At 49.2% G+C, this 25,316-nt stretch overlaps 1 protein-coding gene and 1 pseudogene across 3 annotated transcripts in view, besides 4 other annotated features; one reads left to right on the top strand and one right to left on the bottom strand.

The window, feature by feature from the left end:
* FOXK2 (forkhead box K2) overlaps positions 1-25,316 on the bottom strand; it is an 84,871-nt gene that overhangs the window by 25,756 nt on the left and 33,799 nt on the right. For all 3 annotated transcript variants that reach the window (NM_004514.4, XM_047435919.1, XM_047435920.1), the window contains exons 2-4: positions 15,299-15,493; positions 10,646-10,793; positions 6,977-7,123 (exon numbers count right to left, since the gene is read on the bottom strand). In NM_004514.4, coding sequence (NP_004505.2) covers positions 6,977-7,123; positions 10,646-10,793; positions 15,299-15,493 — 490 coding nt within the window. The remainder of the gene's footprint in view (positions 1-6,976; positions 7,124-10,645; positions 10,794-15,298; positions 15,494-25,316) is intronic.
* On the top strand, positions 1,347-2,533 carry ARL2BPP9 (ARF like GTPase 2 binding protein pseudogene 9; annotated as a pseudogene).
* Positions 7,369-7,868: an enhancer, noted in NCBI's record as "H3K4me1 hESC enhancer chr17:80528855-80529354 (GRCh37/hg19 assembly coordinates)". NCBI's record gives its function as "activates a minimal SCP1, AML or CMV promoter by ChIP-STARR-seq in naive H9 embryonic stem cells {active_cell/tissue: H9 hESC(naive)}" and the evidence as "EXISTENCE:reporter gene assay evidence [ECO:0000049][PMID:30033119]".
* Positions 11,815-12,703: an enhancer, noted in NCBI's record as "H3K4me1 hESC enhancer chr17:80524020-80524908 (GRCh37/hg19 assembly coordinates)". NCBI's record gives its function as "activates a minimal SCP1, AML or CMV promoter by ChIP-STARR-seq in naive H9 embryonic stem cells {active_cell/tissue: H9 hESC(naive)}" and the evidence as "EXISTENCE:reporter gene assay evidence [ECO:0000049][PMID:30033119]".
* Positions 14,879-15,378: an enhancer, noted in NCBI's record as "H3K4me1 hESC enhancer chr17:80521345-80521844 (GRCh37/hg19 assembly coordinates)". NCBI's record gives its function as "activates a minimal SCP1, AML or CMV promoter by ChIP-STARR-seq in primed H9 embryonic stem cells {active_cell/tissue: H9 hESC(primed)}" and the evidence as "EXISTENCE:reporter gene assay evidence [ECO:0000049][PMID:30033119]".
* Positions 15,379-15,880: an enhancer, noted in NCBI's record as "H3K4me1 hESC enhancer chr17:80520843-80521344 (GRCh37/hg19 assembly coordinates)". NCBI's record gives its function as "activates a minimal SCP1, AML or CMV promoter by ChIP-STARR-seq in primed H9 embryonic stem cells {active_cell/tissue: H9 hESC(primed)}" and the evidence as "EXISTENCE:reporter gene assay evidence [ECO:0000049][PMID:30033119]".

Below are 25,316 nucleotides of genomic sequence, written 5' to 3'. Positions count from 1 at the left end.
AGAAGCCCTGCCCCTGCGTCACCACCACCATCACTTACGAGACGCAAAGTAAGTCTGTGGAATTGGGGAGCTGCTATTTTCTGTCCTGAAAACGTAAAAGAACCCAGTTCGCAGCATCAGAATAGATTCTAACCTATTTTATTCTCCAATCCATCTCCCTGACAACAACTCCAAGGGCAAATGAAGAAAGATTACTTGTGATTTGCCAGCCAACAAGACTCCAGAAAATATGAGGAATTAATGAGACATTTAATGTAGACACAAATAGAATAAAGTAACTATGTTTCTAAGGTAATTTAAGGCTGTTGTAATTTGATCAAACCCAGGATGGATGTTCCTTCATTCTGTTGCTACATGTATTAAAACCACATTGACTGGACTCTAATGATTCAGAAATTTTAAAGCTTTCAGAGAAAACGTGGGCTGTTATTCTTTAACGCTAAACATGAAGAAAAGGATTTGCAATTCTGAGCAATTACCTTTCCCCCAAAGGCTTTCCAAATTGAGCGTCTGCTGAAAATCAGCCCTCCCTGAGCACCAGCTCCCTCCCTTCCGGGGCTCTCCTCTGTGCCTTCCTGCAGCCTTCCTAAGCAGACCTCACGTTTCTCAAGGACGGTTTGTCTGTTTCCTCACCCAGCCCTGAGTGCGCTCCCGTGTGCACTCTGCACAGTAAGGACGTGTACAGAAACTGAGGAGAAGGAACAGGACAAGTTCCTTTCAGAGGATGGGTCTAATGTCCAGGAACGCTTCCAAAAGTGCAAGGGTGAGGGTGAGTCCAGAGTACAGTCCTCCCTTTAAAAGAGATCAAGTGACGGGTGCGGTGGCTCACGCCTGTAATCCCAGCACTTTGGGAGGCCGAGGCGGGTGGATCACTTGAGGTCAGGAGTTCGAGACCAGCCTGGCCAACATGGCAAAATCCCATCCCTAGTAAAAACACAAAAATTAGCCGGGCATGGTGGCATGCACCTGTAGTCCCAGCTCCTCAGGAGGCTGAGAATGGAGAACCACTTGAACCCAGGAGGCAAAGGTTGCAGTGAGCTGAGATCGCGCCACTGCACTCCAGCCTGGGCAACAGAGTAAGACTCTGTCCCCAAAAAAATAAATAAAACAAAAATAAATAAAAGGAACCAGCTCTAGTCCCTTTGGAGGCTGAGAGGCCCGTCCTTTCAAACTTCTCATAGTCACAACAATTATCTCAATTCTGGGTGAAGTAAAATCATAAAACCATAAAAATCATTTTGGAGTCACCGAGACCTTGGCCCGCAGTGTCGGCGGTATGCACAGAGGGCCCGGCGGGGCCCTAACCCAGGGCTGGGCCTGGCACGCAGGTGCTGCCCTGACTGGGCAGTGAGCACGCCGCAGCTTTGGCTGCGAGACCTTAACCCGGCCGCCCGCCACGCCCTGCATGCAGGTTGGGCCACAGGCGGGGTAGGAGCCTGCTCGGGGCTGCAGTGATGGACACCTTAGAAGAAGAGAGCTTTGTGCTGTCTTTCTCCTCCACCTCTGATGAATTTGCTGTTGTGGTTGGATATTTAGAGAACGTTATCATGGATAACGAGTTCCAGTTATTACAGAGAAATTACATGGACAAGTACTACCTGGAGTTTGAAGACACGGAAGAGAATAAACTCACCTACACACCTATTTTTAATGAATACATTTCTTTTTTTCTTTTTCTTTTTTTGAGACGGAGTTTTGCTCTTGTTGCCCAGGCTGGAGTGCAATGACGCGGTATCAGCTCACCGCAGTCTCCGCCATGTGGGTTCAAACAATTCTCCTGCTTCAGCCTCCTGAGTAGCTGGGATTACAGGCACGCACCACCACACCCCGCTAATAATATTGTATTTTTAGTAGAGATGTAGTTTCTCCGTGTTGGTCATCTGGTCTCGAACCCTCCAACCACAGGTGATCTGCCGGCCACAGCCTCCCAAAGTGCTGGGATTACAGGCGTGAGCCACCGCACCCAGCCTGCATACATTTTTTTGGTAGAAAAATATATTGAAGAACAGCTGCTGGAGCGGATTTCTGGATTCAACATGGCAGCTTTCACCACCACATTACAGCACCATAAAAATGAAGCAGCTGGTGACATATTCGACATGCTGCTACGTTCACGGTTTTGGACTACAGAGCAGAAAAAGAAGGCCGAGGACTAGACTTAAGCAGTGGCTTAGTGGTGACTTCGTTGTGTCAATCATCTTCTGTGCCAGCTTCCCAGAACAATCTGCGGCACTGGGTCCTCCCTCCAGCCAATGAATTGGAACATTCTGGATGTCACCAGCCCAACAGGCTCAGCTCATGATGACAGAATACATCTTGGAAAAAGACTGACTCTGTTTTGTAATTCTTCATTTATGTTAAGTATTGACAGGTCAAAACCAAAATGACTTAACCCTCCTAGACCTATTTCTCCTGAAACACCTTCTTGTATTCATTAACCGTAGTATTCCTCCCCTCCTCAAGGAGACACTTCTCTCAGGAGCTTCTGAGTCAGACGCCTCTGGAGCGAGCCCATGTCCAGCACTCCACTTGGGGGGTCCTTCCCCGAGCACACACGCTGGTGTGGACGAACCCGCCGCCGCCACCCGAGCACACACGCTGGTGTGGACGAACCCGCCGCCGCCACCCGAGCACACACGCTGGTGTGGACGAACCCGCCGCCGCCACCCGAGCACACACGCTGGTGTGGACGAACCCGCCGCCGCCACCCGAGCACACACGCTGGTGTGGACGAACCCGCCGCCGCCACCCGAGCACACACGCTGGTGTGGACGAACCCGCCGCCGCCACCCGAGCACACGCTGGTGTGGACGAACCCGCCGCCGCCACCCGAGCACACACGCTGGTGTGGACGTGTGGACGAACCCGCCGCCGCCACCCGAGCACACACGCTGGTGTGGATGAACCCGCCGCCGCCACCCAAGCACACACGCTGGTGTGGACGTGTGGATGAACCCGCCGCCACCCTCTGTCCCAGCAGGCTCTGCGTGAATCTTTGCGCATCTGCATCTCTTTATCTCTTCTTCACATGGGTCAGTTTCAGTACTTCAGCCTCAATGGGGTTCCTGATGTCTATCTAGGGTGTTACTCAAGCCCAGCTTGAGATTTCAGAATCTCCTGTGATCACAGCTTGTCTCGGCTGTAGCAATCAACAGAAAGAGACGTCCTCTACATAAAAGTTCCACGTGAAAAGCCACTCCTAGTCTTAACATTTGCAGTCCTTGTGTCGCTGTCTTCTGCTCCTGATGTAGTCCCACTGTTTCTAGAAGTCTCTTTTAAGCATTATTTTAAAAATATATATTTTTATAGATGAATACTCAGGCTAATCTAGTGGATATGATCTTGGGACTTCCATGCTTATCCACTTAAAGATCAAAGTACTATATGCCGTGTGCTTTTTAGGTGTTAGTGCTGTGAAGGCAAAAATGCTTTCTACAATGGCGTTCCTTCCTATTTGACTGGGCACCTACGAATTTATGCTGTGTGCTAGAAATAGACTAAAACATTCTTACAGCATGTTAGTGTGTTTGCGTGTTTGCTGAAGATCACTTCGGTATAAACCAGTTTGTTAGGCTCTCTGGGTTAGGGACTCTGCATTTTCTTCCTCTCCTACCGAGATGGTGTTCCACTGGTCCAGCCCGGCAGGAGCAGCAGGCAGGGCACAGCTTTACTGGCTGTTTGCTGCTTTGCTTTAGTGCAATGTGTGGTACATTACTTATCAGAAAACACGTATGTCATCTCTAGAAAGAAGAAAAAGCATAGTAGTTCAATGCCCAGTGTGTCCCTTTGATTTGTTTAATAGTAAAAATAAGACTCTGTACTGACTTTTCACTTGGCCGTCCTGGTTTTAAAGGACAAGCTACAAGCTCTGTGTTTTCTGTACTGAAGTGTCACTTATTAAATACTTTTGTACCATGAAAAAATCAAATCATAGGACGTAAATGCAAACAAAAGAAAGACATATGGCATCTTTTCAAATAGGATTCCTCAGACCATCTCATTTCACCCTCAGATGTCCTCTGTGGATTGACCAAAAAGCTATACCATAGGTAGACAATACAAAACACCTGGCTTTTGTTGTAAGCCAGGAGGGAGGAAGTCAGAATAAGGTCTGAGGCACTGGGAAGGGCGGCTCAGAGAATCTCATGGCACAGGAAGAGCCCGTGAGGGTCAGTATTCTGACAGCCAAGGGTACAGCTGAGGACAGAAAGAAATTCAAAGTACATTGGCCAGGCGCGGTGGCTCACGCCTGTAATCCCAGCACTTCGGGAGACCGAGGCAGGCAGATCACCCGAGGTCGGGAGTTCAACACCAGCCTGACCAACATGGAGGAACCCCGTCTCTGCTAAAAATACAAAATTAGCCGGGTGTGGTGGCTCAAGCCTGTAGTCCCAGCTACTCATGAGGCTGAGGCAGGAGAATCGCTTGAACCTGGGAGGCGGAGGTTGCAGTGAGCCGAGATCGCGCCATTGCACTCCAGCCTGGGCAACAAGAGCAAAACTCTATCTCAAAAAAAAAAAAAAAAGAGAGAGAGTAATGTCCATGAACTAGGAGGAATCTGGAGAAACTAATCCCTCTCCCGCTTAATTAGCTGGAGCCACGAGGCATGAAATGACACAGGAGTGGCCTTACTGGGGAAAGAGATGCAGCTGTAGACTTACAGACCTCCATCTAGACAGGAGAGAAAATGTTTCAACAGAAACAAGTTTAATAGCAGTTCAGCAGAGAAGGGTGCCTGACGTGTGCTAGTCTGTCATTCCCTGCCGACGTGAGCTGTGCAGGCACCTGCAATAGACGACAGAAAGCAGGGCATGCATGAGGGGTCCCGTGGGGTCCTCGCCACTTCACGACTGTGGTCCAGGAGAGCCTTGCTCCAAGGGCTCTGCTCCCCAAAAGACCTGTCCTGACTTGGGCCCCCCCAAAACTGAGGCCAGGCCTTTATCCAGCCACCCTCTTTAGCAAGAAAGCCTTGTCCTGTTCATAGGTAGTTCTCAAATAAATGGATGTTAGAAAAAACACACAGAAATACCACTTAAGAGAAACACATTAGAGTCTAATAAAGCTTCTTAGAAACACACTGACAAAGCCCCAGGTAACTGGTATCTCAAACCATCAGAATAAGCTGTAAACTCTGAGGGACCCTCACACACTCCCACAGAGCAAGCTGGACCCCATGTGGAGTTTCTCTCCTTGACAAAGCCATAAAGCCATGGTCACTGGAACATGGGTAGAAGTTATTATCTGGTTGTGTGTGTGTGTGTGTGTGTGTGTGTGTGTGTGTGTGAGAGAGAGAGAGAGAGAGAGAGAGAGTGTGTGTGTGTATGTATATAGTTTGAAGCACAGCCTCAGTTTTATAGAGTAAATACGGCCAGAATTTAGCATGCAATATGTTAAGAGACCCTGACATGTAACTGAATATGGAACTACTCTCCAAATCCAGCATTTTCCTAATGGTCAATTAAGAGATACCCCCTTGCTGTAGACAGGAAGGCAGGCAGGACAGGGTATAGACACTCCAGGTATGGGGGGTGGGCACAAGGTGGGCCAGAGGGGAGGCTGGGTCTCATTCTGTACCTTCCATGATTAAAGACCCCCAAGCCCCTCCACAAAGGAAATATGGAAGACGTGGCTGGTAGGCTTTTTTTTTCCTTTTTGAGACAGGGTCTTGCTCTGTCACCCAGGCTGGAGTGCAGTGGTGTGATCACAGATATCTGTAACCTCTGCTTCCTGGGCTCAGGTGATCCTCCCACCTCAGCCTCTGGAGTAGCTGGGACTACAAGCGTAAGCCACCACACTCAGCTAATTTTTTTTTATTTTTTGTAGAGACAGGGTCTCGCCATGTTGCCCAGGCTGCTCTCGAAATCCTAGAGTCACGCGATCCACCTGCCTCGGCTCTCAAAGTGCTAGAATTATAGGCATGAGTTACTGTGCCCGGCCGGTAGGCTATTTTTTAACATAACATGTTTATACATCTGTGGTTAAAACAAAAAAGGTTTTTCCCCTTCAATAAATAGAAAACAGTTGCCCCTGCACCATCCTTACCACTAAGCCATGTAGTTTAGATGTTTTTTTAAAGGATCATTTACTCATTAAAGCCTCAAAGAAATTCTATAGATGTTCCTGGTTACTTAATGAATTAAAAAACTATAAGCATACATACATTTCTTCTCTATGTTTTTAATATTCTATATTTCAAACCTACCCACTGCCAAATTATTTCAAATAGCAAGATTCTCATATACATCCAGTAAACAGCCAACACAACACAGATACACAGAGAAAAAACCTACATAATCTAAAGGGTTAAAATTATTGGCATAACAGAGCGAGACTCTGACTCAAAAAAAAAAAAAAAAATTATTGGTGTGTGAGCTGACCAAAGGGAATATTTTGCAGATTTCAAAGTGTCTCTTGGGGGTAGCCCCGGGGTTCCACGACCAGGTGGGCTCCCCGGCTGAGACAGGGCACACCACGTTCATCTGTTTTTTACCCCGGCCAACTGGTTAAGATGTCTTCTAAGTGTTCCTTGGTAAAATGCGGTTTGAAAACTGTCTCTGCAAACTTCAAAACTTCTGTCCATTAGCAGGATTAGATGAGGAAGACAGGAGAATGCCAAAGGGAAGGATAGGCTGGGTTTTAAATTTCTCCTACATTTCAAATATGAACTGCATTGGTCAAAGGGAAATATCTCAAACAATCCACACTTCACAAATCCTATGCAGACACATGAATTTCCACAACAGTAAAGCATGCAGGCCTAGACGCTCCTCCAGAACCACGCTTCCTTCTGCTCCACACAAAGAAGGTGAGGCAGAGCATGGCAGCACCGGCCCCCAACTCCTCTTCCTCTCAGCACGGGAGGCTCCAACCCCCCCTTCTACCTTCCTATCCTGTGCCTGTGTTCCAGACAGCAGCCGCTCCACTTTCTTCTCGGTATCCATCAGCCTCTATTTAACAACAAACTGAAGGCATTTACCTGCCAGCCCTTGTCCGCAGTCCTGTAGTAGGGATAATTTTTAGTGATGTGTGTATAAATCCCGTTCAGGGTGAGCTGTTTGTCGGGAGCCATCGTAATCGCCTGAACTATCAGCTGCGCGTAGGAGTAAGGCGGCTTTGAATCATCCTGTATTTAAAAAACAAACACAAAACGAATATTGAAGTTACCATATTTTGTATTAAATTTACTAGATTTAAAGATTCTCAGTGCTTTTAAGTGTTCCTCTGATACCTCATTTGTCTTTTTTTTGAGACAGAGTCTCGCTGTGTCGCCCAGGCTGGAGTACAGTGACGCGATCTTGGCTCACTGCAGTCTCCGCCCTCTGAGTTCAAGCGGTTCTCCTGCCTCAGCCTCCCGAGTAGCTGGGATCACAGGCGCCTGCCACCGCGCCCGGCTAATTTTTGTGGTTTTAGTAGAGACGGGGTTTCACCATGTTGGCCAGGCCGGTCTCAAACTCCTGACCTCAGGTGATCCGCCTGCCTCGGCCTCCCAACGTGCTGGGATTACGGGTGTGAGCCACTGCGCCCAGCCTGATACCTCATTTTTCTTACTATGAAAGTAATACAATTCGAAAACATGGAGGAAACAAATGGAAAACTATAAAGAATATTAAAAATTACATAAGGAAAAAATCCAAATGTCAAAAATGAAGACATAAAGGCTGCTTGACCTCAGTGGAGTCCAAGGCAAAGCACCTCAACCACGACCAGATCCTGTCAGCTACCCCAGGGGTACAGGCGAGGGGTGGGTAAGGCTGGCTGAGGGCTCACAGCCAGCAGCACCCCTCCCCAGGCATAAGCACCAGGGGTGGCCAGGGCTGCCCAGAGCCCCTGGGACTCACCAAATACCCATCCACAAGGAGACCCTGCCGCCCATGAGGAGGAGCCCCCTGGCCCACGAAGAGCCCCATGGAGGCTTCACCTTGGGGTTGGAGACATCCTGGCTGCTGAGTGCCCCGCTGACAGGCTGGCATCCCTGGTCCTGGCTCTTTCAAGGCCACTGGTGGCTCCCTGTCATAGTGACAACTTGAAACCCACACTTACAGGCACGAGCCCACTGGGAAAGGGAATCACTCCTGGTTGTGAACTTCTGGGCAACACGCTTGTCAACATGGATGAAGAGCAACAGATAATGTCGGATGAAAAAATACATTCAAGATGATACTATATACATGGAGTTTTACAATGAACAATTATAGATACTGTTCAAGGATAAACACAAATGGAATGGGAAACAGGCAGGCTGACAGACAGGAGGCAAGGATATCAGAGGCGCCCACATGGGCTTCCATAGCACAGGCCGCGTTCAGCGCTGACAGCTCAGAGTGGGCAGAGGGACGTTTGTCTTTTCTTTTCTGGGGACACGGTCTCACTCTGTCGCCCAGGCCAGAGTGCAGTGGTGTGATCACGGCTCACTGAAGCCTGAACTCCCAGGGCTCAGGTGATCCTCCCACCTCAGCCGCCCCAGCAGCTGGGACTCCAAGCTCATGCCACTATGCCTGGCTAATTTTTGGTATTTTTGTAGAGACAGGATCTTGCTTTTTTGTCCAATCTGATCTCAAACTCCTGAGCTCAAGTGATATGCCCACCTTGGCCTCCCGAAGTCAAATTTGTCTCTCTTTTTTTTTTGAGACAGAGTCTCGCTCTGTCACTCAGGCTGGAGTGCAGTGGCGCGATTTCGGCTCACTGCAAGCTCCACCTCCCGGGTTCACGCCATTCTCCTGCCTCAGCCTCCCGAGTAGCTGGGACTACAGGCGCCTGCCAACACGCCCAGCTAATTTTTTGTATTTTTAGTACAGACGGGATTTCACCGTGTTAGCCAGGATGGTCTCGATCTCCTGACCTCGTGATCCGCCCACCTTGGCCTCCCAAAGTGCTGGGGATTACAGGCGTGAGCCACTGCGCCCAGCCTATCGCTTTTTTTTTTAAACAGAAAAATGTAATCACAAGAAGACCCTCCACATACCTAATTCTTTCTTTTTAGACAGGGTCTTGCTATGTTGCCCAGGCTAGAGTACAGTGGCTATTCAAGGATTGATCGTAGCTCACCACAGCTTTGAACTCAAGTGATTCTGCCTCAGCCTCCCGAGCAGCTGTGACTACAGGTGCATGCCACACTGCCCGCTACGTCTCTTCCTTTAAACAGCTAACAAAGCCTTCGTCACTGTGCCTGTGCTGTTGACTTCCCTGTGATTTTTTTCTATGTTTCTAAAAACTTTTTAAATTGAAAAACATATAAAACAGACAGAAAAGCTCATGATACATTTATGTCAGCTGAACAAATTTTTGCAAAGTGAACATCAGTATACTAGGTCAAGAGACAGGGCACCACCAGCATCCCCAACATGCTCGTATGGGCCCTCTCAGCCCACTACCTCTACTTCTCCAAGAGGCCACCATTACTACTGACTTCTTAGAGTGACCACAGTTTTGCTGGGATTTACTACGTTTTACCACTTGGCTGCATCCTTAAACAATACAACTTAGATCTGTCCAATTGTAAGCCTGACAGAAACAGCACCACACGCGACGCGCCCTCCTTGCCTAGCACCCTGTGTTAGACGCCGTAGTCGGCCGCAGGTGGGGGATGCACAGCTGTGGCTTATTCATTCTCATGGCTGTGCTGCGTTCTGCTGGGATAGATCACACTTCCTCAATATGTCAAGTAATACCATGCATGGTTCTTACTCTCTTTCTTCCACTCAGCATTACATCTGGAATATTTCCATATCAGCAAATACTCTGCATGCTATTCCCTAAGTGGAAGCACAATATCCTAATCACCATTCCCCTAGGGACACTGAGGTTGCGTTCTTTTTATTTTTTATTTTATTTTTTTGAAACAGGAGCTCACTCTCTCACCCAGGCTGGAGTTCAGTGGCGTGATCTCAGCTCACTGCAACCTCCGCCTCCCGGGGTTCAAGTGATTCTCCCGCCTCAGCCTCCAGAGCAGCTGAGATTACAGCTGCGTGCCACCACGCCTGGCTTTTTGTATTTTTTTTTGGTAGAAGCGGGGTTTAACCATGTTGACCAGGCTGGTCTCCAACTCCTGACCTCAAGTGATCCCCCCGCCTTGGCCTCCCAAAGTGCTGGGATTACAGGCATGAGCCACCACACCCAGCCGCATTCCATTGTTTTATACAAACTTTCATCCATTTCCTTTGGTCAAAGTCCTAAAAGGAAAATTACTGGGTCAAAGAATACAAACGTGCCAGGTCATAGTGTGACTCTCAACAACTGCTGTCCAAACAAGTGACAAACGTGCCCTATACAAACATGAGTGGCAGGGTGTGCATTTGCATAACCTTCAGAGTTTGGGACAAGGGGATAAACTCCGGCACAAACACACATGAGCTCCACAAAGACCAAGGTACTCCTCCATCTTCCGCTGTCTGCCCAGCCCTCAGCACCTGGGCCTACAGCTATTAGGGAGACCCTAAGATGTGCGTTGAATGACTAAACGAGTACACTTGCAAAAAGCCCCAATACCAAGAACACAGCAGCAACACCAGAATCAAGCCCACATCCCCACCGATGCCCTGGCAGGGCTGTCACTGGACAGGCAGGTGAGTGACAGGCAGGTGACATTGAGGGCCCTGTGGCTACACACTGTCCCCCAGGGGCTGCTTCAAGGCTACAAAGCCTTTACCTTCGGGCTGTCTCCACCTGAAGCTTCCTTTTCATTTTCAGGCTGTGAGTTGTCAGCCATTAAATTGAGGTCAGATGGCATCACTCGGCCCACCTTGTACCCTGAAGACCCCGCTCCCCGGGGGCTGGAGGGGCAGGAGTTTGCAGCGCTGTGGAAGAGAAAAAGTTGTTCCTATTAGTCTATCACAGTGCACGCATCCTACTGTGCTTCAGCAACTGGCTTTAATTACAGGGATAACAAATACAGAAATGTTAAAAAAAAAAAAAAAAAAAAAAGGAAGAGAATATCAGCATTTCCTATGGAAACACAGATTCTTATAAATGATCTGTGAAATTTAAGATCGTCCCAAGAAGCAATGTGGAAATAGGGTATTTGCTTCTATAAACGTCAGCTCATGAAATGTGACACAAGCTCTCAGGGGAGGCAGTGGCCCACTCATTTCACCAGTGAGGAAACTGAGGCTCCGAATGGTTCCAGAACTTATTAAAGACACAAAGTGACACAAGATAGGCACAGAGGTCCTCACTGAGGAGCTGTGACAGGGGGCACAGAAAAGACAGGGAAAGTCGGGGTGGTGGGGGAGGGGAGGGGTCTGCCAGCCAAGGCCCCTGGAGCTGAAGTGGAGCAAGCGGTTCCACTGAAGATGAAGCCGTGGACATGGACACCTGCTGAAGGCACAACAGCAGTCAGCTGGGGGCGCCCGGGACGCAGCAGCGGGTCAGCTGGGGGCGCCCGGGACACAGAATCAGGCCCGTTTTCAAACAGCCACTTTTTCCCACCGGGCTGGACGGGGGCTCAGGGAGTGTTCTGATTCTTGATCTCTGTGCCGATTAAAGGGCACGTGCATTTCTGGTAAGTCAAGGAGCTGCAGATTCTCTCCATGCCTCATTTTCTGCACTTCAATAAAAAGAACGAGCCATTGAAATGGAACAATATCAAGGTAAGATTATCTTATAAGTCAGAGAGGTGTGTTTGGGGAAAAACATTGCAAATGCATAGAGAAGGTCTAGAGAAAATCACCAAGAAGCCTAAAGGCATGACCTCTGAGAAACAACTCCAAAAGGAGGGCCAGGGAGATGGAGAGGTGGGGGGGAGGAGGGAAAGGGCAACACACGAGTGGCCTTGTACCCTCTGCAGTGCTTCTTAGACTCTCCGCCATGAATATGCACCACTGGTATACTCACTCACCCATTCAACAAGTATTTACTCAATGCCAGCAACCATCCTTAAAGCACTGGAGAAAAAGCATCTACAATTTATGAGTTTAAAGAGCCAACTTTTAACAAGTGGAGGATGCAGCCAGTGTGGCCCGAGGAAGGCGAGTGACCTGCTGGGTGGACGGCAGGTTTGGAAAGTCAGGTTGCTCAGGCTCGCTCCACCTGGAGGCCCCGGGGACCTGGGTTCCCCCTGACAAAGGTCTGTGCAGGTGTGGGGAGGGGCAAGCAAGGAAACGCAGGATGAAAAGAAAGCAGCAGGTGGGAGGAGAGGCGGAGTTGGGAGCCGACCCAACCTCAGGGTGGCAGCTGTGACCCACCCTTCCCCTGCACCCACCGCTGCTGTCAGTCACACTTGAAGTGGGGTCTTCAAGGCTGCTGCTTGGCGGTGAGCTGTATGTGACTTACGTAAACTTGGGCACATTCTACTCCAGGGAATTCTGTGCCCTTTTCATGCAGTGCTTAATAAGCACTGGGCGGCAGGACTGACTTGTGCCTACCCACTTGCACACTTACTATTTGGCCCACTCAGTTATGTTCAGCCAAATTCAGCCAAGAGAGAGGGCAGCCTCTCAGCAAAGGAGCAATGGGAGAGAGGGCAGCAACGAGAAGGCCCTGATGCCAGCCGGGGCGACTCTCAGACAGCACCAGGCACAGGATGGTGGCCAGAGTCCACTGGCCACACCTCCATTTCACAAACACATGCACAACGGATGTTTTTCCAGGGGGCCTATTTTTTTTTTTGTGGTAAAATACACACAACATAAAATTTACCATTTTAACCATTTTAAACTGCACACTTCAGCAGCATGAAGCGCATTCACACAGAGGTGCAGCCATCACACCACCCCGCTCCAGAATGTTCTCATTTCCCAAACTGAAGCTCTGTCCCCAAGAAACACCGGCTCCCCCTCCCCGCCCCCAGCCCCTGGCCACCTCTCCATTCTGCCTTCTGTCTCTGCAAATGTGATACTCTAGGAATCTCAATGACTGGCTTATTTCACTGAGCATAACGTCCTCAGGGTTAATTTATGTTTCAGCATATGTCAGGATTTCCTTCCTTTTTAAGGCTGAATAATATTCCATTGTATCTTCTATTCTCTGGAAATTGTGCATAAGGCTGCTATGAAAACAGGCATACAAATATTTCTTCAAGACCCTGCCTTCAGTTTGGGTCTATATCCAGAAGTGGGGTTGCTGGATCACATGGTAATTCTATTTTTAGTTTTGTGAGGAACTGCTAGTCTGTTTCCACAGCAGCTGCACGGTTTGGCATTCCTTGCAACAGCACACAACAGTTCCAATTTCTCCACATCCTCACTAACACTATTTTCTGGGTTTTTTGTTTTTAATAGCAGCCAATCCAATGGGTGTGAGGTGGGATCTCATTGTGTTTTGATTGGCATTTCCCTAATAACTACTGATGCTGAATATCTTTTCATGTCCTTATTGGCCATTTCTATATCTTCTTTGAAACAATGTCTTTCACGTTTTTGAACTGGGTCTTTTGTTTCTTTGTTGTTGAGTTTTAGGAGTTCTCTCTATAATCTGGATATTAATCCCTTGTCAGATGTATGATTTGCAAATACTTACTCCCATTCTGTACAACACCTTTTCACTACTGATGTTGTCTTTTGATGCAGAAATTTTTTAAATTTTCAAGAAGTTCAATTTGTCTTTTTCTTTTGTTGCCTGTGCCTTTGGTATCAAATCCAAGAAATCAATACCAAATCCAATGTCATAGGTTTTGCCTATGTTTTCTTCTAAGAATTTTATAGTTTCAGGCCTTACATTTAGGTCTTTGATCCATTTTCAGTTAATTTTTGCACACGGTATAAGATAAGGGCCCAAATTCATTATTTTCCATGTGGACATACCGTTTACCTGGTACCACTTGTTGGGAAGTCTGAATGAATGGTGTGGGCATGTGGGCACCCTCGTCAAAAACCATTTGATGAGGCCAGGCGTGGTGGCTCACGCCTGTAATCCCAGCACTTTGGGAGGCCGAGGCAGGCGGATCACCTGAGGTCAGGATTTCAAGACCACCCTGACCAACATGGAGAAACCCCATCTCTACTAAAAATACAAAATTAGCCGGGCGTGGTGGTGCATGCCTGTAATCCCAGCTACTCAGGAGACTGAGGCTTGAGAATCGCTTGAACCTGGGAGACAGAGGATGCAGTGAGCCAAGACCGCACATTGGACTCCAGCCTGGGCAAAAAGGGTGAAACTCCATCTCAAAAAAAAAAAAAACCATTTGACTACATTATGTGAGGGTTTATTTCTGGGCTCTCTACTCTTCTTTAAAAAAAAAATAAAGAAAAAATGTTTAATTGGCTCATGGTTCTTCAGGCTGTGGGCTCTCTAAAAAAAATTCAAAATTAAAATTTTGAAAGGGCAGACTTTAGACCACTGTCTGCCCTTTCATTTATACTCCAATAAAAAGAATCCAGGCCAGGCACAGTGGAGCACATCTGTTGTCCCAGCTACTCAGAAGGTCAAGGCGGGAGGATCACTTAAGTCCAGGAGTTTGAGTTCATCCTGGGCAACACAGCCAGAATCCATCTCTTAAAAACAAAAAACAAAACAAACAAACAAACAAAAAAAAACCAGCCAGCTGTGGTAGCTCACGCCTGTAATCCCAGCACTTTGGGAGGTGGATGACGAGGTCAGGAGTTTGAGATCAGCCTGGCCAACACAGTGAAATCCCGTCTCTACTAAAAATACAAAAAATTAGCCGGGTATGGTGGCACATGTCTGTAGCCCCAGCTACTCAGGAGGCTGAGGCAGGAGAATCACTTGAACCTGGGAGGCAGAGGTTGCAGTGAGCCGAGATCACACCACTGCACTCCAGCCTGGGGAACAGTGCAAAACTCCATCTCCCAAAAAAAAAAAAAAAAACCACTTTAAAAACATCTTTTAAAGAATGAGTAAACAGGCCAGGTGCAGTGGCTCAGCCTGTAATCCCAACACTTGGAGAGGCTGAGGTGGGCGGATCACTTGAGGTCAGGAGTTCAAGACCAGCCTGACCAATATGGTGAAACCCTGTCTCTACTAAAAATGCAAAAATTAGGTGGGCGTGGTGGTGGGCGCCTGTAGTCCTAGCTACTCAGGAGGCTAAGGCAGGAGAATCGCTTGAACCTGGGAGGCAGAGGTTGCAGTGAGCCAAGATAGCACCACTGCACTCCAGCCTGGGCAACAGACAGAGACTCCTTCTCAAAAAAAAAAAAAAAAAAGGGAATGAGTAAATAAAAACCAGGAACCTTTGGGAACTGCATTTCATAATGCAGGAAATTCAGAGCAGAAATCCAATGATATTTTAAACACCACCTCACATTCTCTCTCTCCACATAAGTCAGCACCAGGGAAGGAGAAAGGCGTTACTTGGGGCTGCCACTGGGACTAAGGATGCTCCAGTCCCCCATCCCCATGGCCGCACCTGATGGTTCCCGTGGGGGAGGGCAGAGGGCTGATGAGGTGGGCCATGGTGTCTGGAATGTTGATGGTCAGGGGCGAGATGTGTGGCTGTACGGCCTTCACTGGAGACTCAGACGCCTCCTGCTTCTCTCTCTTCTCGCTGGACAGGGCAGTGAACGTTATCTTGATGTTTGTGCTCGGGAACCTGAATGTGCACCTGGAAAAGAAAAGCCCACCATCAGCACCTTTTGCTGTTCCAGCCGGGGCAGGGCAGAGTCCCCACATGTCCCCACAACACTGGAGCAGCTGAGAACATGGATGCAACACTTCCAAGCTCAGCTCACCGTGTTATTATAAGTCGCCAAACAAACAAAACCACAACTAAGGTGCTTCATGACTTTAAAAACACCAGTAAGAAAACGCTACTTAGACCAGCCATACAGGAAAATAAAAAGCACAGACAAGGCCAGGTATCGTAGCTCATGCTTGTAATCCCAGCACTTTGGGAGGCTGAGGCAGGCCGATGACTTGGGTCCAGGAGGTCAAGACCAGCCTGGGCAACACAGCAAGACCCCACCTCTACAAAGACTACAAAAAATTAGCCAGGCGTGGTGGTGCATGCCTGTGGTCCCAGATACTCAGGAGGCTGAGGCAGGAGGATTGCTTGAGCCCAGAAGGTCGAGGCTGCAGTGAGCTATGATAGTGCCACTGCACTTCAGTCTGAGCAAGAGGCCCTGTCTCCCCCGACCAAAAAAAAAAAAAGCATAGACTCAAAAAGACTCAAATACTACTTAGTTTACATGACTGCTTTTAAACTAAGTGCCTGAATATGTTTTGGGTCTTATAGTAGACTTAAAACAAAACTCAAATACCACCCAGTGTCTATTTTTCCTTTCAAAACAAACATACAAATGTATCTGGGTCACAAAGCAATAACTTTGTGGTAGTTTTCTTATTTAAGAAAAATAATTCCTTTCCTTTTTTTTTTTAGAAACAGAGTTTCGTTCTTGTCGCCCAGAATGGAGTGCAATGGTGCTATCTCTGCTCATTGCAACCTCCACCTCCCAGGTTCAAGCGATTCTCCTGCCTCAGCCTCCTGAGTAGCTGGGATTACAGGCATGCACTACCACGCCCGGCTAATTTCGTATTTTTAGCAGAGACGGGGTTTCTCCATGTTGGTCGGGCTGGTCTCGAACTCGCGACCTCACGTGATCCGCCCACCTCGGCTTCCCAAAGTGCTGGGATTACAGGCGTGAGCCATGGCGCCCAGCCTCCTTTTCTTTAAATAAAAAATCCTATCACCCTTTTCACTGTTGGCTCTGGCAAACAAAGAGCCAGGGACATTAAGCTACAGGGGAGAAGGTTTGCAGTGAACACTCTGGTTCACACTTCATGTAGCTTCCTTGACATGATTCAAGTAAAACATAACCAAACAAAGGTCATGCAAGCCAAATACCTTCAAAGAATAAAATTTAAAAATAGCCATAGACTCTGAGAGTCTCTAAGTCCCCACCACGAACCCAGTTCAACAACAGCCTATTTGTATGTCCACAAACAACGCAAACAAGTGGCCGGCCACACTCAGCCCAGCACACATCCGCGCACCCGGCGCGGGACTCAGCCCGGCTCACATCTGTGCGCCCAGTGCGGGCACCCCCCCCCCCCAACAGAGGAAGACTCTGTCCACCACCCTGCCCTAGGGGCACCTCCAGCCTGTGGAGGTCGGAGGCTACGCCATGGCCCTCCCGCTTCAGGCACCTGCCCAAGAAGGGTCCAGCCTGTGGAGGTCGGAAGCTACGCCATGGCCCTCCCGCTTCAGGGACGTCTCCAAGAAGACACTTCCCAACCCTCTAGCCGGGGTCGGGAAGGACAGCACCTGAGGGGTTTCAACACTCGCTTCTTTGCCGTGCTGCCGCTGCCTCCCCTCGCCCTTCTCCTTTCCCCGTGAGGCACACGCAGGACGGCCAGTCCTCCCCACGGTCTTGGTGTACAGAGCAGACCCTCACAGAGTGGCCACCTCCTGGATGTCCAGGACACCAGACTCTGGTTCCCACTTTGCAGCACTCCTTTCCAACCCCTTACCGGAGCCTCCTCTCTTTACCGCCCGATGTTCAAGGTTCAATGCTCCAGGCCTCGACTCCAGTTTCTCCCTCTACCCTCACTCCTGGCTCATCCAGGCCTCAGACCTTGAACTCTACACATATACCCAAATGGCTCCAAAATCCCCACTTCCAGCTCCAGGGTCTCCCTACACTCTGGCCCCTCATATGCATCAACACTGGGGGTCTCAAACAAGACTCCCAGCCCACGCTCCTCTCCCAGGACTCCCCTCAGCAGTGACAGGCAGCACTCAGGTGCTCAGGCCAGAATACAGGAGTCCATCCACCAGTGCCATCAGCTCTGGCCTTCAAAACGCGCCCATCATGAAAACTGAAAAAGCTTCTCTGCCAAAACCCCTGTTAAGACACTGAAAAAGTAAGCCACCTTCTTTGCTTGTTCACCTTCAGGAGAAAACGTCTGAAGGCTGGGCAGTGACTCACATCTGTAATCCTAGCACTTTGGGAGGCTGGGGAGGGAGGATTGCTTGAGTGCAGGAATTTGAGACTAGCCTGGCCAACAAAGACCCCTATGACCCAGGCTGGAGAGCAGTGGCACGATCACTGACCCACTGCAGCCTCGAACTCACAGGCTCAAGCGATCCTCCGCATCAACTTCCTGAGTAGCTGGGACTAGAGGCGCATGCCACCATGCCAGGCTGTTTCCCAGGCTGGTCTCAAACTCCTGGGCTCAAGTGATCCACCCACCTCAGTCTCCAAAAGTGCTGAAATTACAGGCGTGAACCACCATGCCTGATCTCGTCTATAAATGATATATTTAAGACAACGATCTTTTGGTCTATAAAGCTCTATTTTATTTTACATCCTTGCAAATTATTAACTGAATCAACGAAGACCAAGAGAGAAGCAGACCACTGGTATCGAAACCAATGGAAACAAAGGAAAAATAAAAAGAATCAGTCAAACAAAAGACAGCAAAATGCTTCCAGCTGCACCACAGCGCCAGGGTGGAACCGCCGGAGCCCAGGAGCTCAAAGCCAGCCTGCGCCACACAGTGAGACCGCTTCCCTTAAATAACAGCGAGGAGGGCCGGGCACGGTGGCCCACTCCTGTAATCCTAGCACTTTGGGAAGCCAAACAGGAGGATAGTTTGAGACCAGCCTGTGCCACACAGTGAGACCGCTTCCCTTAAATAACAGCGAGAAGGGCCGGGCGCAGTGGTTCATGCCTGTAATTCCAGGACTTTGGGAGGCCGAGGCAGGCAGATCATGAGGTCAGGAGATCGAGACCATCCTGCCTAACACTCTGAAACCCCATCTCTACTAAAAATACAAAAAAAAATAAGCCAGGCATGGTGGCACACACGTGTAATCCCAGCTACTCGGGAGGCTAAGGCAGGAGAATCTCTTGAACCCGGGAGGCAGAGGCTGCAGCGAGCCGAGATCCTGCCACTGCACTCCAGCCAGGGCGACAGAGCGAGACTCCATTAAAAAAAAAAAAAAAAAAAAAAAAGTCTATCCAGAGCAAAGATCTGCAACACTTCACATTCAGTGGCATTCACTGCTGGCTTTAGACTTTCCAGATGCAAACACCTGTTTATCACTACATTTTAGAAGAAAACCGGCACTTAATCTCTCAAGTCACCCACTTGGCCCTCTTCCAGGTGTACTTTACCTCTTTTCCTTCCTGCTCTAAAGCTTTTTAATAAGCTTTCAGTGCTGCTCTAAATAAATACATAATAAATAATAAAACTGATCACCTGCCATGTATCTGAGATCCGACTGAGCTTAGCTCCCTTTCAACAGACATTACTTCTAGAGTCTGCAAACAAGGGGGGTGGGTGGGGGGTGGTGTGTGTGTACAGCTGTCACCTCCTCTGAGGACAACAAGGAAGACCAGCCTGGCACGAGGTTCCAGCAGGATCTGAAAGCCACCCTAGACTCCCACCCATCATCTCCTGAGTCCTCCTCACTGCTAATGAGCAGCCCGTCCCACGTGGGGACGTGTTCCCAGGACCACCCACCCTCTCATACCAGCCTAACGGCTTAAAACCCAGGGGTTCTCACGGCAGAACCAGGTGGACACAAACAGGGCAAGGTGCTTGGATGCCAAGTGGCTCCGCCATCTCTGCTGGGCTCTGCACACGAAGCTGGCTCTGAGCTGAGCGCAGCTGTGGAGTCCGCACGGTCGCCAGCCAGTAGCAGAGATGGGAAGAACAGCGAGCACCAACCGCGCAACCTCAGACTGAAGCTCAGTGGAAAACCGCACTCCACATCCACATACAGACACTCAGGACACCAAATCAAACACTGTACTACTAAGCCAGGCTCAGTAGCTCACGCCTGTCATCCCAGCACTTTGGGAGGCCGAGGCAGGAGGATCCCCTGAGGTCAGAAGTTCGAGACCAGCCTGACCAACACGGTGAAACCCCATTGCTACTAAAAACATAAAAATTAACCAGCGTGGGCCAGGCGCAGTGGCTCACACCTGTAATTCCAGCACTCTGGGAGACCAAGTTGGGCAGATCACGAGGTCAGGAGATCGAGACCATCCTGGATAACACGGTGAAACCCCGTCTCTACTGAAAAAAACACAAAAAACTAGCCAGGCGTGGTGGCAGGCACCTGCAGTCCCAGCTACTCGGGAGGCTGAGGCAGGAGAATGGCATGAACCCAGGAGGCGGAGCTTGCAGTGAGCCGAGATCACGCCACTGCACTCCAGCCTGGGCGACAGAGCTCTCAAAAAAAAAAAGATGTAAAGATGTGAACAGTGACTTCTTCCCACAGACACATCTGGTGTCCACTGTGCTATATTTATTCCATGTCCACCCTGAACTTCTGCAGAAAGCCCAGCCTTGACCAGCAGAACAGACTCCCCGCCGGTCCTCCCAGGAGAGGGCTCCAGCAGTGTGCACAATTCCAACAGGGAAAGAGGCGATCTCTTCCTCCCCTGTGGGGGCAGTAGCCCTGGAATGATGGGGAACCCAATGTCCTCTTAGTGTTTCGTCTGCTTCTCACACAACAGGACCACACCCCCATATTATCTGTGAGCTCGTACTTCTCCGTAGAGTTACGCACAACGTCCTCGTCCAGACCCGGCTGAGTGCTCTCCGCGGACAGGGCACTGCCACACTGAGCCATCCTTCCCTTGCATCGGTTCTGTTTCCTTTTCGTTTTCAGGCAGGGTCTCGCTCCGTAGCCCAGGTTGGAGTGCAGCAACGCAATCACAGCTCACTGCAGCCTCAACTTCCCAGGCTCAAGGGATCCTCCTGTCTCAGCCTCGAGCAGCTAGGACTACAGGCACACGCCACCATGTTCAGCTAATTTTTATTATTATCATTTTTTGTAGAGACAAGGTCTCCCAATGTCACCCAGGCTGGTCACAAACTCCTGGGCTCAAGTGATCCTCCCGTCTTGGCCTCCCAAAGTACTGGAAGCACAGGCATGGGCCACTGTACCCAACCCCAATGTTTCCAATTAAAGACAACAGACAATTAGTGCTGTGAGGACATTCCACTGCAGAGGATCCTCAGGAGCACAGGGCATTTAAAATGAGGAAAGGGGCCAGACGCGGTTGCTCACACCTGTAATCCCGGCATTGAGGGAGGCCAAAGCAGGAAGATCACTTGAGCCCAGGAGTTCAAGACCAGCATCAGTAACATAGCAAGACCCCCACATATCTACAAAAAATGTTTAAAAACTTACCCAGGATGGTGGTGCACACCTGTAGTTCCAGTGACTCAGAGGCTGAGGCAGGAGGATTGCTTGACCCTGGGAGTTTGAGGCTGCAGTGAGCTGTGATCATACCACTGCACTCTAGCCTGGACAACAGAGCAAGATCCCATTTCTAGTTTTTTTAAAAAAGGCAGAGGCCGGACACAGTGGCTCACACCTGTAATCCTCAGCACTTTTGGAGGCCAAGGCAGGTGGATCACCAGAGGTCAGGAGTTCAAGACCAGCCTGGCCAACACGGTGAAACACCATGTCTACTAAAAATACAAAAATCAGCCAGGCATGGTGGCACGCGCATGTAATCCCAGCTACTTGGGAGGCTGAGGCACGAGAATCGCTTGAACCTGGGGAGCGGAGGTTGCAGTGAACTGAGATTGTGCCACTGCACTCCAGCCTGGGTGACAGTGTGAGATTCTGTCTCAAAAATATATATATATAAAAAATAAAAATAGGCCAGGCACGGTGGCTCACGCCTGTAATCCCAGCACTTTGGGAGGCTGAGGCGGAAGGATCACCTGAGGTCAGGAGTTCGAGACCAGCCTGACCAACATGGAGAAACCCCATCTCTATTAAAAATACAAAATTAGCCAGGCGTGGTGGTACCTGCCTGTAATCCCAGCTACTTGGGAGGCTGAGGCAGGAGAATTGCTTGAGCCTGGGAGGTGGAGGTTGCAGTGAGCTGAGATCATCACACCATTGCACTCCAGCCTGGGCAACAAGAGCAACTCTGTCTCAAAAAAAAAATAAAAAATAATAATAATAAAATAAAAATAAAAGAGAGGCTGGACACGGTGGCTCACGCCTGTCATCCCAGCACTTTGGGAGGCCGAAGCAGGTGGATCACCTGAGGTCAGGAGTTCAAGACTAGCCTGGCCAACATGGTGAGACCCTGACTCTACTAAAAATACAAAAATTAGCCAGGTGTGGTGACACGTGCCTGTAATCCCAATTACTCAGGAGGCTGAGGCTGAGGCTGAAGAATCGCTTGAACCCAGGAGGTGGAGGCTGCAGTGAACCAAGATCCTGCCACTGCACTCTAGCCTGGGTGACAAAGACTCCGTCTCAAAAAAAAATAAAAATAAAAATAAAAAAAAGAGGCAGGAAGGTGCTGCTGGCCATCTGCTCACAGCCTGACCAAAAGCATGGGGATGTGCTGTTCGTCCTCCATCCTGGCTGCCACAGAACAAGCCCAGCCCCAGCCCCAGCCCCAGCCCCAGCCCCAGCAAGGTGAGGGAGGTGCTCTGTGTTTTCATCTAAGTGTGAGCCTCTCCACGTTGATGAGCCATGGAATACATTTAAAAGCTATCCAGATGTCCTGGTAACTTGCTTTTTTTTTTTTTAGACGGAGTCTCACTCTATTGCCCAGACTGGAGTGCAATGGAACAATCTTGGCTCACTGCAACCTTCGACTCCCTGGTTCAAGCGATCCTCCTGCCTCAGTCTCCTGAGTAGCTGGGATTACAGGCGCCCGCCACCATGCCCTGCTAATTTTTGTATTTTTAGTAGAGATGGGGTTTCACCATGTTGTCCAGGATGGTCTCAATCTCCTGACCTCATGATCCGCCCACCTCGGCCTCCCAAAGTGCTGGGATTACAGGCGTGAGCCACCGTGCCCGGCCAACTTGCTTTTTCTTCATCTAGATTCTGACTGCGTCAGTGAGAGTTCCTGTGTGTAAAAATGCATCAGTTGCATACGCACGATACACACACTTTTCTGTATAGACAGTATACTTCAATAGACAGTTTAAAAAAATAAAAGCCGTCCATGCAGATGGATGTAGAAATGAGCAAAATGTGGATCATATGACAGGCGTGGGGGTTCACTGTGCCATTTTCTATGCTTTTGTGCTGACCATGACCTATTTCTTTTTTTTTTTTTTTTTTTTTTTTTTTTTTTGTGATAGAGTCTTGCTTTCGCCCAGGCTGGAGTGCAGTGGCACAATCTCGGCTCACTGCAAGCTCCGCCTCCCAGGTTCACGCCATTCTCCTGCCTCAGCCTCCCGAGTAGCTGGGACTACAGGCGCCCGCCCCCACGCCAATTTTTTTTTTTTTTTGTATTTTTAGTAGAGACGGGGTTTCACCATGTTAGCCAGGATGGTCTCGATCTCCTGACCTTGTGATCCGCCCGCCTCAGCCTCCCAAAGTGCTGGGATTACAGGCGTGAGCCACCGCGCCCGGTGACAGTGACCTATTTCTTTTACCTGGGTTGTGACTGCATGGACACCCACACTATAATTATAATTTATTTGAATGTAGGTTACATTCGAAACAAGATACATTAAAACTGTTTTCAGGTTCTCTATGGAGTTCAGTTACCTTGGAAATCCTTGTTCCCCTTTTCAAAACTAGAAATTAAAAACTGTGGAATAATTTTGGATGAGTTGCCTCATGACACTAAAAAGAGCCGCAAAATATTACAACAGAACGGAGGTGGGGGCGAAACCAGATGCCGGGGGTTAGATCCTCCTGGGACCTGTGTCTTCCCCACATGGCTGCAGGGCAATGAGCTCAGTGCAGGTCCACATGCAGCTGGTGTCTTGGCTAGAAGGGCCCCTGACTTCCCAAGGCCTGAGGTGCCTCTTCCCTGGCCCTGCAACTTTCCTCCACAGAAGCACTTGGGGTCAATGATGGAGTTTAAGTGTCTGGAAGACACTAGGCTGATGAGGGGGCTGTCTCATACAGTCAGCCTATCCCAATTCCTGGCACTGTGTGTTCCTAAAAGTACTTTATTTGGGGCTGGGAGCAGTGGCTCACGCCTGTAATCCCAGCACTTTGGGAGGCCGAGGCGGGCAGATCACCTGAGGTCAGGAGTTCGAACCCAGCCTGGCCAATATGGTGAAACGCTGCCACTATTAAAAACAAAAAAAAAATTAGTCGGGCATGGTGGCCCACACCTGTAATCCCAGCTACTTGGGAGGCTGAGGCAGGAAGAATTGCTTGAACGTGGGAGGCGGAGGTTGCAGTGAGCCCAGATCGAGCCACTGCACTCCAGCCTGGGCGACAGAGCGAGACTCTGTCTTGGAAAAAAAGAAAAAAAAAAAAAACCTCACTGGATTCTGCAAGATTTGTAATGAAGCTCAGTATAGACTAGGAATCTGTTTACAAGCCTGAGACGTCTGACCAAAAATGGAAGGAAGGGACAGGTTAAGAGATGCACTACAGGAAAGGAACACTAGGTGGCAGAAAGCAGAATGGCAAATCCCTAAGTAAAGTTTCAAACCTGTTCAGAGGGCCCTGATAAAAATTCCATTTCCTTCACTTGAACAAACCAACAACTTAAACTGGATTCAGTGTCGCAAACATCCTTCTCCCAGCCTGGCTCTCTCATTCTCCTGTTCTAGTTTCTTGTGGGAATGGAAATTATTACAAATGCAACGTGCAGGCCAATGGTCTGGAGTTTATGAATTAACAGACTCACGAAGAAGCTCTAAGGACTCCAAAGACAGGTTCCTTAGGAACAAAGCCAGACTTTGTTGCAAGACTTCAGTATTAACCAACATCATACAGCCCCACAGAAATGAATCAGATTTAAATAAGTCCCCAACTTTAAGGAGAGTTATATTTAGTGATGTCTCTTTATGCAAAGCAAGTTCAACCAACTAGCCGATTTGTCAAACTATTCCCTACAACCAGTTTCAAAAAAGTACTTGAGGCCACGTCCGGTGGCTCACGCCTGTAATCCCAGCACTTTGGGAGGCCGAGGTGGGCGGATCACAAGCTCAGGAGTTCGAGACCATCCTGGCTAACATGGTGAAACCCCATCTCTACTAAAAATACAAAAATTACCCAGGCGTGGTGGTGGGCGCCTGTAGTCCCAAATACTCGGGAGACTGAGGCAGGAGAATGGCATGAACCTGGGAGGCGGAGACTGCAGTGAGCTGAGATCACGCCACTGCCCTCCAGCCTGGCAACAGAGCAAGACTCCATCTCGGGAAATAAAAAAAAAAGTACTTGAAAGCAGCCCCACAGCCCATCCACCATCTGCGTCACAGCAACGGGACAAACGTCCGTCTGGGACAATCTCCACCACAGGCGCAACTGCTGTGTCCCTGGAGCTTAGCCGATTCTAGTGGTGGTTCATGTCTTAAGGGCTCAGCACACATCCCAAGGTCTAGGGGCCTCTTCGCAGCCACGCCTGTGAATGTGGATCTCATGAACACAGACCCAGAGTCAGACCCCTCCAGAAACATCCAAAGTCCCCGAAAACCATGTTTGTGCTTCTGTGGAGTGACGGCATGGCTGGGAACCTGCA

Source organism: Homo sapiens, chromosome 17, assembly GCF_000001405.40.
Source record: "Homo sapiens chromosome 17, GRCh38.p14 Primary Assembly".
NCBI lineage: Eukaryota > Metazoa > Chordata > Mammalia > Primates > Hominidae > Homo > Homo sapiens.
This window is presented reverse-complemented; position numbering and strand designations above follow the sequence as displayed.